General features: G+C 41.1%; 1 long non-coding RNA gene across 4 annotated transcripts in view; it reads right to left on the bottom strand.

The window, feature by feature from the left end:
• The window catches only part of LOC105372926 (uncharacterized), a 198,874-nt gene that overhangs the window by 119,564 nt on the left and 64,839 nt on the right, over positions 1 to 14,471 (bottom strand). For all 4 annotated transcript variants that reach the window (XR_001738473.2, XR_001738475.1, XR_001738474.1 and 1 more), the window contains one exon: positions 12,675 to 12,716. This is a non-coding gene — a long non-coding RNA (uncharacterized LOC105372926). The remainder of the gene's footprint in view (positions 1 to 12,674; positions 12,717 to 14,471) is intronic.

A 14,471-nucleotide genomic window follows, 5' to 3' on the forward strand; every position in this document is an offset into this window, starting at 1 on the left:
GTATCCATCAACACAATCAAGAGACCCATGGGCCACGACAGACGACTGTCTCCTGTAGCTCATCAGAGGCAGGTCAATTCAGGGTGCATAACAGCTTGTAACTTCTCATCTCTCTTGTGGTTTATTAAATGTGATTCTGGTTACTTTAATATAAGGAAAAATGAAGGTGCTCTTTCTCTCTCCCTGCCCTCACCTCTGTCTCTTGGATGCAACAATAGAGACAGAAAGATGGGTGGGGCTACAGGTTCGGAATCAGAGACAATCCCCCAAGCCACACATTTGCTCACTTCACCAGAGAAAGACATCTCAGTGTCCATTATAAGTAACTGACTTACCTCTCCCCTCAGTGCCCCTGCCCCCCAGGAGCAATCAAAATCACGTGTCAAGAAATTAGACTCCTCCACGAGCCACTTCTGCCACCTAGTGTGAAGAGACCTAGACAGAATAATTTGAGTTGATAGAAGAAACACGATTTAACCTCCAAATTGCAAAAACATTTCCAATAAATACCGTTTACTTTCCCCAGACCATTTTATAAGCCACTAAACAAACGAGCATCTGTAGGTTAAATGCAGTAAATTAAGGCCATAATTATGAACCAGCCAAAGACTTTTTGACAAAAGAAGGTACCATGAGCTTAAGTTACAAAATATGTCATGCTTACATTAAGATCAAAATCAGGCTGGATGTGGTTTCTCATGCCTGTAATCCCAGCGCTTTGGGAGGCCAAAGCAGGAGGATTTCTTAAGCCCAGGAGTTCAAGGCTGCAGTGAACTGAGACTGCACCACTATGCTCCAGCCTGGGCAACAGAGCAAGACCCTATCTCTAAAAAAAAAAATTATTAATTAATTAATAAAAATAAAATTTTAAAAGCCAGTTTGATCTGAGATCAAAATCATAGGTACAAACTACTATAACTTTTAAATCAGCAGGAACTGATACAATGAGATTTTATATCTGCTATGAAATTGTTCCTCTTAAGAAACCACACTTTAGAAAAACCATATTTGAGACATGATAGAATCTTTATTTACTTGTTTGTTTTTGTTATTTTCCTGGTTTAAGAAAGACAATGTATGATGAAGGGCAATGTTTCAAAAGCTTTCTTACAGTAAATAAAGTAAGTTTCACACAGTTGCCCCTACATGCCTCTCAGTGTTGGCTAGAGACATACTACAATGGTGAAAGTCAGTGAATACATCTATGCAAGAGGCAAAATACATCCCAACACACAGCTTTCTGGTGGCGGGGCCTTTACTCAAAGTGAAAGTGACTTATAGAGAGCCTGCCTCTATCTCTCAGAAAAGCCTCAATACAAACTATTTCTCACGACATGGAAAATGAGTAGATCGACGAAATATCAATCTGTTAACTTCTGGAAAGATTTTGGAGTGAAGACATTCTATGATTCCAATAAAATACCCATTTTCTTCAATGAACAACCAAAAAATGGGTAAGGCAACGCTCCTCTAATGGAAATTGAAGAGTCAGTAAAGCCTGTGCTGGTGTGGATGGCCCAAAACAAAGAAATAGAGTTAGTAGAGTCACTCTTAAATCCCAGTTGAGTTGGAAGAGTTAAATTCTGAGGGTTGAAATTTGCAGCACTTGCTACCAGCCCAGTACCCACCCCCGACCAAATGCACACAAGCACACACATACAGGCAGAATGTATTGCAATCTTCATTTCTTAAATTATCTAGGGCAGGAAATATAGACTTTGGGGGAGAATTGCTGGAAACCAGAGGAGAAGTCACATCAGACTCACAGCCTGGCAAACCACTGGTGACTAGTTTGGGGAAAAGGAGTATAAGAACGCCTCTTCAGGCCGAGCAAAGGGAATCCAGTTACATCATAGGAGGGGGAAACCACTTCAAAGCCTAGATATTGGCAGCCTGAATCCTACAAAGGATTGAAATGAAATACTACCTAATTCACCAAGCCTGGAGCTACAAGTCAAACAACTTAATTCCTCCACAGAGCCTTGGTTAATGATCAAGATCCCAGTCTCTCCCTGACCCACTCAGCATTTTGAGTGTAGTTGGTCTTTATGTACGTGTTTCATTTTTTGGAAAGCTACATGAGATGATGGAAAGGCATAAAGTAAAGAGGTATTTTTATGAGAGGGAAAAAAGGCTTTTTTTTTCAGTTCTGCCACCTGTGAAGTTCTTTTAGAGCACTAACCTATAGACGTTGAGCTGCTAGAAGGGAAAGAGGCAAGATGTATGGGTCTGCACCAGAAAAATAGAATGGGCTTTAGGAATTTGGTTCTCAGCCTAGATTCCTAATCTAAACTGGTTATCTCGGACAATAGTTCTTCAGAAAATATCCTCCAAAAACAGAGGCTCATATCTCGAAACTGGGATTGTGCCAGGTAATACCTAAACTCCAGTTTAGCATCTTGTCTTAAAAGAGTCTATCTGGGCCAGGTGCGGTGGCTCATGCCTATAATCCCAGCATTTTGGAAGCCCAAGGCGGGTGGATCACCTGAGGTCAGGAGTTCAAGACCAGCCTGGCCAGCATGGCAAAACCCTGGCTCTACTAAAAATACAAAAATTAGCCAGGCATTGTGTCACGCACCTGTAATCCCAGCTACTCAGGAGGCTGAAGCAGAAGAATCGCTTGAACCCAGGAGGCAGAAGTTGCATTGAGCTGAGATCACACCACTGCACCCTAGCCTGGGCAACGGGGCAAGGCTCTGTCTAAAAAGTAAAAAATAAATTTAAAAAAAGAGTCTAACAATATCAAGGAAAGATGAGCACAGAAACTTACAAATGTTGTGCCACTGTGGTGTGACATGTCAATAGTGGGGGAAGTCATGGGTGTGTGAGGACAGGGGGTAAGTGGAAACAGTAGAATTTCTATCCAGTTTTGCTGTGAGCCTCAAACTACTCTTAAAAATAAAGTCTTAATATTTTAATGTTAAGAAGAGAAAAAACATACAGAAGTCCTACTCTGTATCGATCTAACATTCTATCTACTTCTCCTCTGTCCTCCTTTCATGTCTTCTTATCACCTCTTTGTCATTCCCATCTCCAGCTTGGAACAACTCTCCTGTTTTTTGACAATTGTTACAAGCCTCGTTCCATGCCCATCATGTAAAAGAAAATTCTTCTGTGAATCACATAGATTTGTAAAGCCCTCCCCTAGAGTCCACCATGTTTGGAGCCACCTGTCATGCACATTCATTTCTTAATTGTTCATGTGTTTGTTCTATTTCCAAGAAGATGATTAGTTCTTTGAAAGTATTATGTTTAATTATGTTTCAGGATTCTTCCAGCACCTACTTAGCCAAACAACATTGTAGATGCTCAGTAAATAGCTGTTGACTGACTTTAAGTTCTAGATAAACTGTTAAATTTAGCTTGAATTGGACCTCATGCATCTGAGGTCCTGGGAGGTGGCCAGGGTGGGGTATGCATAAGGAAATGGTTATTCCGTCTAAAACAGGAATGAGTTTACCATGACTTTTTATCATTTACCATGGCCTAAGCTGGAGATTTTTCTTGTCTCATGCTCAAAAGACTACAAATTATCTCACATATTTGAAAAAAAAAAAAAAAGGACTTTCTACACCATTTTCATCTAAAAATTTAGAACCATCAGCCAAGCTCAGCTCAAATAGCATATGCATGAAAGCAACTGGCAGAATTAGGACAGATAGAAGAAATCAGTGCCCAAACCAAGAAAGAAGGCTTTTCAAGGCAAGGCTCTGTGTCCTAGGAAGCCTGGGAATCTCAGAAGACACTGCCACTTGCTATGGGACAAAGATCTCTGCTCTGCAGAGAATTAGCTCTGCAGAAAAACTAACACGATTTAGAAGCCAGACTTGAATCGAGTCAGATCGTGCTTTATGGAGCAGAGCTAGCTGAGGCACAATTTTTCCAACAGGCAAAGTTGGCCCCGAGTTCCCTTGCAACTCCCGTCTGCACCTATCCTTCTTCTTCTAATCAAGCACCCTCCAGGTAGGTCTCCCTGCAGACTGATGGATTCCAGGGCTCCCAACGGGCCCCGCCCAGTCCTGCTTTGCTTAATGATCACTCACATTCTCTAACTCTCATTCCAAATGCTCAGTTTGTGAAATATTCCACCCCCCCACCATTTATAAGCAATCTGATAAACTCTCTGAACTGTGAAACTTCTGAGCAAAAGGGTTACATAGAGATTATTTCATCTCAGTCCCTTAGACCAAACCAAGGCCACAGAGCTGGCGTGATTTGCTCTAGGACCCCACAGTGAAGTAGTAGCCAACTGGGACCACCCTGAAGCCTCATGATTGGCTAACCATTGCACCATTGCTCTTCCTGCCACACCATTCAGTAACAGTCAACAAATATTCACTGAGCATGAACTACATGCCAAACCCTCTGCTAAACTGAAAAATTGGGATCATCAAGACGTGAGACTAATTGAACCTCAATATTGTTCATCAAATCATTTATTCATTCAATAAGAATTAAGTGAATATATGCTGTGTTATAGATTCTGCTTAAACACTCATCCCAGAAATAGCTGAAATTAAATCATTGCAATGGCATTGTACTGTATCCACTTAACTAACCTTGAGCTAAGATTCCCAACACTCCCTCCTACAGTTGGTGCAGGTTAGGGTTAACCTCAAGAGAAGTTTGCCTGAGATTCAGAGGGCAAAAGTGAAGTAGCAGCCATTATGTTCTGAAGGTGGATGTAGGTACCAGTGGCTGTTGTAGCAAATCTGTGGGATCACCCTGTCAGTGTAAGCCTGCAGCCAAACCTGCAGCTGTACCAGCCGCCACCGCATTTCCTGCTTCAGGTTCTGCATATCAGGTTTGGAGGTGGTAGGGGATGGTCGTAGGTTCCAGATTGTCCTCTCAGTTGTGTTTGTTCTTTGTCTTCTGTGCTATTTCATGCCCAGCTTATTATTCCCCAGCTGCCAGCTCTGCAGAGGTACAGCAACTTCAGGTTCGCCATCAGACCAGACAAAAGGATAACAGTCTTCCTTAGACTTCTTCACCAGCTCCCACAGTTGCATGAGATCGAATAATAAACCCCCTATTCCATGTCACTCATACTGGATCTCTATTTCTGATTGAACGTTGATACAGAAAAATACCCTTTTAAATATTCTTTAATTTAGCCTTTCTGAAACATGAGTAATGCATGAACTCATTTAAAAAAAAAAAACCTTGTAATTTCCTAGTGTTTACTTAAATTATTATTATCATGACCTTACCTAAACAGGTACATATATTAATCAAAACATGTAACTATAAATGAAAATAAACTTTATAAATAAAATTCACATCAGTTACACTAATTTAATGTTCCTGATAATGTCATTGTGCTGAAATGAAGTCATGAATGAATCCGCAGTACAGGTTCTTTTGCTATCCCAAGCCTGTAGCACTGGGCACTATGTGGTGTCTGAATACTCCAGGTCCTTTTCTATGTTTGAATTACTGCAAAGCCTTCTCTCACACAGCTTTCTGGGATGTCATTTGGCTCACTTGGTGCAAACACATCACGCAGTTATCAACTGAAACTCTAGGCTCCCTAGTAAATATTAAAAAGTTAACTTTACCAGAGCCCAGGTCTTCTTGTTCAATCCCTCCCTCTCCCTCACATTGCTCTCTGGAGACCCCACCCTGTCCAGGCGTAGCTGGATTCCTCATCCTGGCAGCTAAGTCTATCTTTCCCAAGAGAACAAGGCATTCAGCCTCCTACGCACAAGAGTTGCTGGCCAAGAGAAAGCCGATTCGTTATTGGAGATGAGAGAGCAACACACCCAACCCTGCCATATGTTGGAAAATCCAATAAAAGAGTAAATAATATCTTTCCTGATTCTTTGTAATAATCAGAATAACCAATGGCCACCATCACTGTGTAACTTCCAGTTATCTGGAAATTGCAGCCTGCAAGAGCTAGCCCTGGTAAGCTCCACATTCACACTAAGAAGCCTGCGATAGGTGTGAAAACCTCAGCACATCTACTGGGTCCCCTTTCCTGCCTGGAAAGCCACAGGGCATCTAAAGGCATGTCAGCCATACAAGGCACTGTGAGGCTGCTCTGAAGTTGTATTTAACCTCCATGCACCTCTGCAATCATACTGTCCTAGCAGAGACATTTGCAAAGCCTCAGACACACAATACATTTGTGATAATGGCCATTTCCAAAGGCTGGCTTACTTGTTGCATTTCTATATGTGGAATGTGATTAAAACTTGTGCTTAAATCTCATTCTTTTCTTCCTTTGTTTCCCTTGGCTCAAATGATCATCAGCGAAGCAGTAAAGCAGTTTATGGGACTCCGCCACCTCCCAAGATAAAATTATAAATCAGAGCTAATTTGTTCAGATGCATTAATGGATGATTGACTCATAATGAGTTAGAATGTGGGAAGGGCAGCATCAGACCTTGGTGACACACCAAGCCACCCTGGTTGGTTCTATTCTCACGCCCAAGGGAGGACACTACAGGACTGGGGCTCCCAAAGCTGCGTTGTTAGATCCTCCAACCAAATAAGAATGATTGTTTCCCTGAAAAATCTGCTGCCATTCTTGGGATGTTCAGGCACCTCCTGTAAGGCTCATCCTCACTGTGGAAAGTTATTGAATGTGGTGAAGTCAATTACAAAAAAGAAGGATGATCACAGTCAATAACAGCTGACATGTCCCTCATGTGCCAGGCATTACCCTTGATCTTTAGCCAACTGTCTCCTATTTCGTATTCATTTTTCAAATAAACAGCTGGGGCTTAGGAAGGTGAGGCACCTTGCCTGCCCTCCTAGGTAGGTAAGTGAGGAAGCTGGCTCACTCTAACCCCAAAGCCCCACTCTTGACCACTAACTGCACCATTCTTCACTGAGCACAGTGAGTTTGCACAGTTCCACGCTTCTCTGGCATTTTTGAATCCTATGAGAACTTTAAATCCCTTTCACCTGCTCATTTCTAATTAAATGAAAAACAAGCCTCCTTGTGTATATATTTTTATATTTCTTTGGAAACATCTTTTTTACATTTACAGCCAAGAGTGGTCTGAGCCCCAGTATGTGCCAAATGAGATATGTCTTCTCTTCCCTTTGTACATCATGCTAACATTTGCTTATTTCAGTAAGTGCAATGACTAATCATGTGGCTCTTATGCTTACTCTTTCATACTGGGAGTTTTAGCCAAAATATTATTTAACCTGTAATCCTGAGAGCAGGGACCACATCCTCCCTAATGCCTATCTTGATTCTTGGAACAAAAACCTGTATAAACGAATAAAGGAAGGGAGGGAGCAAAAAAGAAGGGAGAGAAATGCTTAGAATTCCACAGTTCCTTGAACGCCAGGTATAAAGATACACAGTAGCTGCCCTGCAAGAGCTCTAGTCAAATGAGGGAAGCAGACTTGGAAACAAATAATAAGAACACAACCAGAGAAAGACTATCAGGTCAGTGCAGAGTAGTATGAGAGCAAGGATGAGGGGATCTGGAAGGTTTCTCAGCGGAGTGACATTTGGCATTGAAGAAAGCGTGGCATTAGGCGTTGGAACCAACCCCTGGGAAAAGTTGGAAGGAAGACAGGCAGGTGCTTGATGGGCAATACCCATTTCTACAGAGGAGAAAAAGATTCAGAGAGGTCAGCCGACTAGCCAAAGATTGCAGCTTATAAATCTTGGACCTAGCAGTCTGCTGCTCTCCTCTGGATGGTCTGACTAGCAAGCTGGTCACTTAATACATGCCCCTCTATTGTTCTTGAGAGTTGCCAGGTTTTGCAGATCATCTGATGATTTGGCCTCTAGGTGAACAAAGAGGAGTTTGTTTCCGTGGCGGGTCCTCTTCTCATTCTTTAGACTCTCTTGCCCTCTTGTGGTTATGCAGAGCTACAGCCACCTGAGCTGTCTTCATACATCAGAGAGAAAACATCTAATAATGAGTGCTGGATTGCAGCCCGATCCCTTCCCAGTTCCAAAACAACACAAAACAACTCTTGAGCCAAGAATCTTTTAAAAATATTTATCAAAGAATACACTCATGGTTTTAAATGATCATGCATATTTTAAACAGCAAAAGGTCCAAATGGAGGTAGGAGGAAGTAAGAGGAGGAGGCATGAGTATATCAAATTCTATTTTTATACACAGAGGTAGTGCATGCAGGTTTAGAAAGCCCAACTCAAAATTAGTAGAATGTCAATAAATGTAAAAACTAAGGCACAGAGTGGTAGGGAAAGGATTGCCTTAGACAAAGCTACCATTTTAAGTTCTGGACCCCAGTTGAATTGTCCACCTGGCGAGAGTTTTGCAGGGTGGAAACAATGCCTTCAGCCAGTTATGAAATAAGCAAAAGTCTGTTCCCTGAGAGGAGACATCTGCATGAAACCTACAGGCATGTGGGAACCAGATCTTAACCTTGGTTTCAATGCAAGTATTTGAGAAATTACTGCAAACAGCAGTAACTACCAGTTTTGTCTTTTATTATTCAGCTTTCTTGTTAACTTCAGAGAAGTGCAAATGTGAAATGGACATCGCCCCATCCCAGCAGAGGAAAACATAACATACAGCTAACAGAGACAAAGACTTTCTATTGCCAGGAACAATGGCCAACACTCATCACTCTTGGTAAAGACAGTAGGAAACTGGGATTCAAACACACAGTGAAGAATTTCAGTTAGATGCAAGGAAGAAATTTCCACAGGGACTGTGAGTGATAATGTGGTATGTTGCAAAGAAAACTGAACTTAAAATATAGAACACTGGATTTTAGTTCCTGCTCTGCCACAAACCAGCCATGTGACCTTGTGAGAGGCATTTTACTATTCTGGGTCTCAGTCCCCTCAACTGCTAAAAGAGTATCATAATAAATCTCTAATTTTCCATTCAACCCTAAATGTTTATAAGCCAAAGGTTCTATGATGCTTCCCTTTGGAGGCTGTCAAAGAAAGAGAGAATATTTCAAGCTATTTCCATTTGTTTGGACACAGATGTGGTTGGAACCAGGAGAATAACTTAAATGGCTTCTTCAGATAGCCTTCTCTTCCAAAGTGTAGGGAATTTGGGGATGCTTGCCAAAATACATTGTTAGCCTAATTAATTGATTTTAACACCTCAATGTTTTAAACCTTAATGATCATCTTCCAGAAAATAGAGCAAAAATTCAAAGCAATGGAAAGGGGAAAAAACACATAAGAAAATCTAAGGTACAACCCAAGGAGTTTAGTATCCATAGATAAATTCAGAGAGAACACAGAAAACAGATGACTAGAATCATCGGCTAAATAATTCACCAAAAGAGAAAAAATAAGTCCCAAACTGGAAGGCACAAATTTCTGATGGAAAGTATACATTTTCATCAAGTGCTCACCCAGCACAATAGAAGAAGATGGAAAGAGACACAAAATAAGGTATATCATTGTGAAATTTAAAAAAAAAAAAAGGAAATTCCCAGAAAAATATTCTTGGGAGACCACAAGCTGATAGCTCTGAAGCAGACACAGAGAGCAACCAGTTCAAACTGAAACAGGTCGAAAGAGATCTAAATGAGACTTCTTCAGCAAAGTACATGTAATAGAACACATTAGGTACTCCAACAGACTGAAAGAAGATTTTGACAATTGATAAAAATGGTTGAGGTCGAATTGGTAATATGTAAATAGAAACTGAAGCAAACCGATAATTAAGACAAGTTTATGAAGTCTAGAAAAAAACAAAATGTTGTGCAAGAAAGAAAAAGTACTTGCCACCATTACAGCCCAGTCCCTCTGTTTTGCATTTATTTTGTAACCATTGCATTGAGGAATTGGAATTTCATATCAGTGGGAAACAAACAAAATTTTTTAATCGCTGTTTTCATTCACACTCTGTCAAATCTTCCTTCCCCACTCAATAGTAAATCCTTTAACACCTCGAACAAGTGTCATAACTTTTCAGTTATTAAAATTCAGTTCCATCCTGTTAATAACTCTGGACTCATATTTGATTCAAAACTTTTCCTCTCCCTCATTGCAAATCAGACCTATGGCTTGAGGGACTTGGAGAGTGAAGGATGACACTCTTTCATTACCGCACCACCTCTGTGCTCAGGACTGGATTCTTTGGTGATGGAAACAAGGAAGTGAGATACGGGAGATTGGTGAAGAGCAAACAGCTCCTTACTTAACTGGAGTCATTGCAGTTCTCTCTCTGGCCAACCCTGACTGGCCATTAAGGCTGGGCACGTGGGGAGGAATCCAAAGCTGACTCTTTTGTGAGGCTCATGAATATGTTGACTGGAGAGCACTGAAGGGGCCTTCTGACTACATGTTTTGTTGACATGGCAAATGCTACTCTTGCCTCACCTCTTCTATCCTCCCATATCCTGTCATTCATGCTGCATCTCCCATAGCCCTTTGCTGATGGGGTCCCCTTATCCTGTGTGTAGCTCTCTCAAGTGGAGTAGCATCAAAAGGGCTCAAGCCCAGCCATCTCTGCAGGTTCCACTCTATCCACTAGAGACTCACAGACCCCTGCCAGACTAACTGGTGGCTGTGCTGATTGTGGTACTCTTTCTGCAGCCCTGTAGTCTTCCTCCAATTCTCTTCCCTTTCTCTGGTACTCAGGGGCAGATCAGCAAGTCTGATGCCTAAGGAATGAGATGCCAGTGACCCTGCCTTGCACAGACACACCCAATCTCTACACAGGATTGTGGGGAACCCCTTCACTTGATGATGGGGAAGGAGATCAACCCCTGTGCTACCCGAAGGGAGAGTGGCAATCACCTCTTATCATGAATACGGCACTCCTCACAAGGCTAGTGACTCAAAACATTCCCTGTGTCTCCCATTCATTCTCAAGACTTCTTATGTAAGGGACCATCATTCCCCTTCCCACCCCTTCATCCTGTGTTTGGAGGGTGGCAGGTGCTAATAGGGAAGTTCTACCTCCTCCTTGTAAGCCCTGGAGGGAGATATCTGGCTCCTATTTGCCTCTTGTTAAAAAATAGGATTACTTGAGCATCTTCCTTTCAGGTTGGGATTTTAGTTACAATTCTGGGGCAACATGCTTTTACATCTGTTCTAATATCTGTCTCCCTGATTAAACTGTGAGCTCCCCGAAGATCACATCTTGTGATCTCATGCGAAGGCCATATCTCATTTCTCAACGTATCCCAGCCCCTAGCATAGCACCAGGCATATAACAGATTCTCAGTAAGTACAGAGTAAATGAAGTGGGAATGAAAGAATAATTCATAGGTGGATGGATGGAAAGATAGATAGATAGATGGATAGATAGATAGATAGATAGATAGATAGATAGATAGATAGATGATAGAACCTCTTTCCTACTTCCATTGACACTGACAAATAAGAAACTACTACTGGTCTTGTGTGTTAATATCAGCCTCAGACAGCAAGGGCACAACATTGACTGTCATTTAGGAACTCCCAAGAATTGATTGTTTCAAGCTCTCTTTCTGTCCTCTTGCACTCCTTTTCATCCTCATCCTCTTGGGTTTCATTAAAGAAACAATGTTATTTATTCTATATTAAGAAGAAAAAAACACTCTTTTTTATCTGAAATATCTGAATAAGAAAAATTTTAAATATCTCTGATATCACAGATATCATTTAGAATTAAGTCTTTTTAAAAAAAATGTCCACTATTCACATTTAAATATGAGAGGATGGTATAAAATGACCCTTCAACAAATAACTGCCAGAATTCTATCTTACAAATGTTTCCTATATGGAAGGAGGCAAAACAAAATCCTGGTTTTCCAATTGCTGAGACTTTTCATTTATTTCTTCTTAATGATTCACCCTTTCAATAACATACTCCATCATGATTTCTGAGTACCTGAGCCATGAAGGACCAGAAATCAAGAAACGTGGGAGGTACCACTGACTCTTTTACCAGTCTCCTGTAAGTGTAGGCAAGTAATTCCATTTGATTTCCTCATCTGTGAAATGAGGAAGTTGAACCTCATGAATCTTAAGATGCCTCTAAAATTCCTTAATTTTAAGATTCATCCAGTAACTGTAGGTACTTAAAACCCATGGAAAATCTCATGACTGTAAGAGCTCTTCTTTAAAGAGAAAATGATTTCTGAACCATGTTTAGCAGACCGACTAATGGCCCTCCAAAAATACCCATGCCCTACTCCCTGGATCCTGTGAATATGTTCCATTACATAGCAAAAGAAACTTTGTAGGTTGCTGACCTTATGCTAGGGAGACTATCCTGAGTCATCTAGGGGGTCCAATCTAATTAATTACATAAGCCCTTAAAAGCAGAGTAATTTCTCCAGTGGGAATGAGAGAGAGGTTGGCAGAAGGAGAAGTTAGATTCGAGAGGTAAGAGAGACTCAATTAGTCGCGGGAGGGAGCACCACGGGAAGCATGAGGAGGAATGGAGCAGCCTCTAGGAGAAAAGCCTGATTCCCGGTGGGCAGCCAGCAAGGAAATGGGAACCTCTGTTCTACAACTGCAGGGAACTGAATCAGGTCATCAACCTGAAGGAGCTGGGAAGTGGATTCATCCTGAGACTTCAGAAAGGAAAGCAGCCCTGCCAAAATGTTGATTTCAGTCTTGTGAGACTCAGAGCAGAAGGACCACTAAGCCGTGATGTGCCCGGACTTCTGACCCATGGAAACGATAAGATAATCAATTTGTGTTGTTTTAAGCATCTACACTTGTAGCAATTTGTTATAACAGCAGTAGAAAACCAATACACCAACCATACCTTTAACATCTCCTTCACTCTGAATTCATGTTCTACTTGTTTCTGCAGAAGGAGACAAGAAAAGGATGTTTTACCATCATCTAGAAGATAGAAACTCAGCAGGCCCTACTTTTTTCTGCTTTTAGTTAACTGTATGTAAACAACCTCCTTGGATTTCTCCCCTTTAAATATTTATTGCCCAAAATTGCAATATTAACCATTCTGAAATCAGTCTTTAAGCTAGAAAATTTTAATTAAATTATTTTAAGGAAAAGATCATCATGTTTTGTTTCTAATTTTTTCAGTCTCTTTGCCTCATTTTTTTCCATTTTGTGCCTTAATCAGAAGAAGGAGGAGGAGGAGAAAGTGCTTTTATCATATTGGCAACCTTCATGCTACTCTCATTAAGAAACTTTTAGCGTTTTATTACAACTTCCTTTGGCCAAAGAATTATGCCTCAGTAAACCTACTACATGACATCATTCCTTCCCCAGAGCAGTGTTTATTCCTTACAGGTCAATGACTGTGTACCAGACACTGTTCTATGTGCCGGATTCATGTTTTTCAAACTATGGGTCAAGACCCTTTGGTGGGTTGTAAAATAAATTTAGTGGGTCATGACCAGAATTTCTGTAAATGTGAAATAGAATAGAACAGAAACTATCAGAGTGTATCATTAGTGAGAGTAAGCATTGTTTCATGAAATTTTTGTTAAAGTCATATGCATCTCTGTGTGTGTGTGTGTACATCTAGGAACACCAAATATAAATGTAAAAAAAAGGAAAAAGGATGTCCTACTGTATATTATGGTTTAAAAAGATAAAAATTAGTGCTCTTGATTCATCATTTTATTTAATCCTCATGACTATACATAAGGTAGGTACTGTTATCCTTGGTTTGAAGATAGGGAAACTGAGGCTGAAACAGTTTGAACAGCCTGCTCAGGATCCAGCAGGTAACAAATGGTAGACTTGGGACTCAAATCTAGATCTGTCCAAGTCCATGCTTCTTCCCATACCTCACATATCCTTCACAGAATTGAAAAACAAAACCAGAAGCCGTATTCAAAGCCATGTTCGTACTTTTTGATAAATGGCATGATACAAAGAAAATGTATATAAATTTTTGTTTGTTTGTTTGTTTGTTTGTTTGAGATGGAGTTTTGCTCTTGTTGTCCAGGCTGGATTGCAATGGCATGATCTCAGCTCACTGCAACCTCCACCTCCTGGGTTTGGGCGATTTTCCTGCCTCAGCCTCCTGAGTAGCTGGGATTACAGGTGCCCACTACCACGCCCAGCTAATTGTTTTGTATTTTTAGTAGAGACAGGGTTTCACCATGTTGGCCAGGCTGGTCTTGAACTCCTGCCCTCAAGTGATCTGCCCGCCTTGGCCTCCCAAAGTGCTGGGATTACAAGCGTGAGCCACTGCGCCCGGCCATATATAAATGTCTAAGCCTACTATGTTCATGCTAACATTGATCAGCTCTGCCTTCCGCCTTGTCAGAGCCATTTCACATGCAATCATGTTTAGGATGAAGGTTGGTTGGTGATATATATGTGTTCTATTACCATTTTACCCCAAAGCCTTTGCTGAAATTAGATATCCAGTAATGACAGCAAAGCCAGTGAATTAGCAACAATATATTTTCCCATCATTTCATTCAGGGCTTATATGGAGTGATTATCTGTATGAAATGTTATTTGGGCTTCTCCTTTACTCTTCATCTCACCCTTCCTCAGCTATGTCGATTTTTCTCAAACCACATTGCACCCCCTAAACCCTTCCTCCAACCCATCCGGAAGGCTGCTCAGCCGCTGG

The sequence above is a fragment of the Homo sapiens genome, chromosome 1 (genome assembly GCF_000001405.40).
Source record: "Homo sapiens chromosome 1, GRCh38.p14 Primary Assembly".
Lineage (NCBI taxonomy): Eukaryota > Metazoa > Chordata > Mammalia > Primates > Hominidae > Homo > Homo sapiens.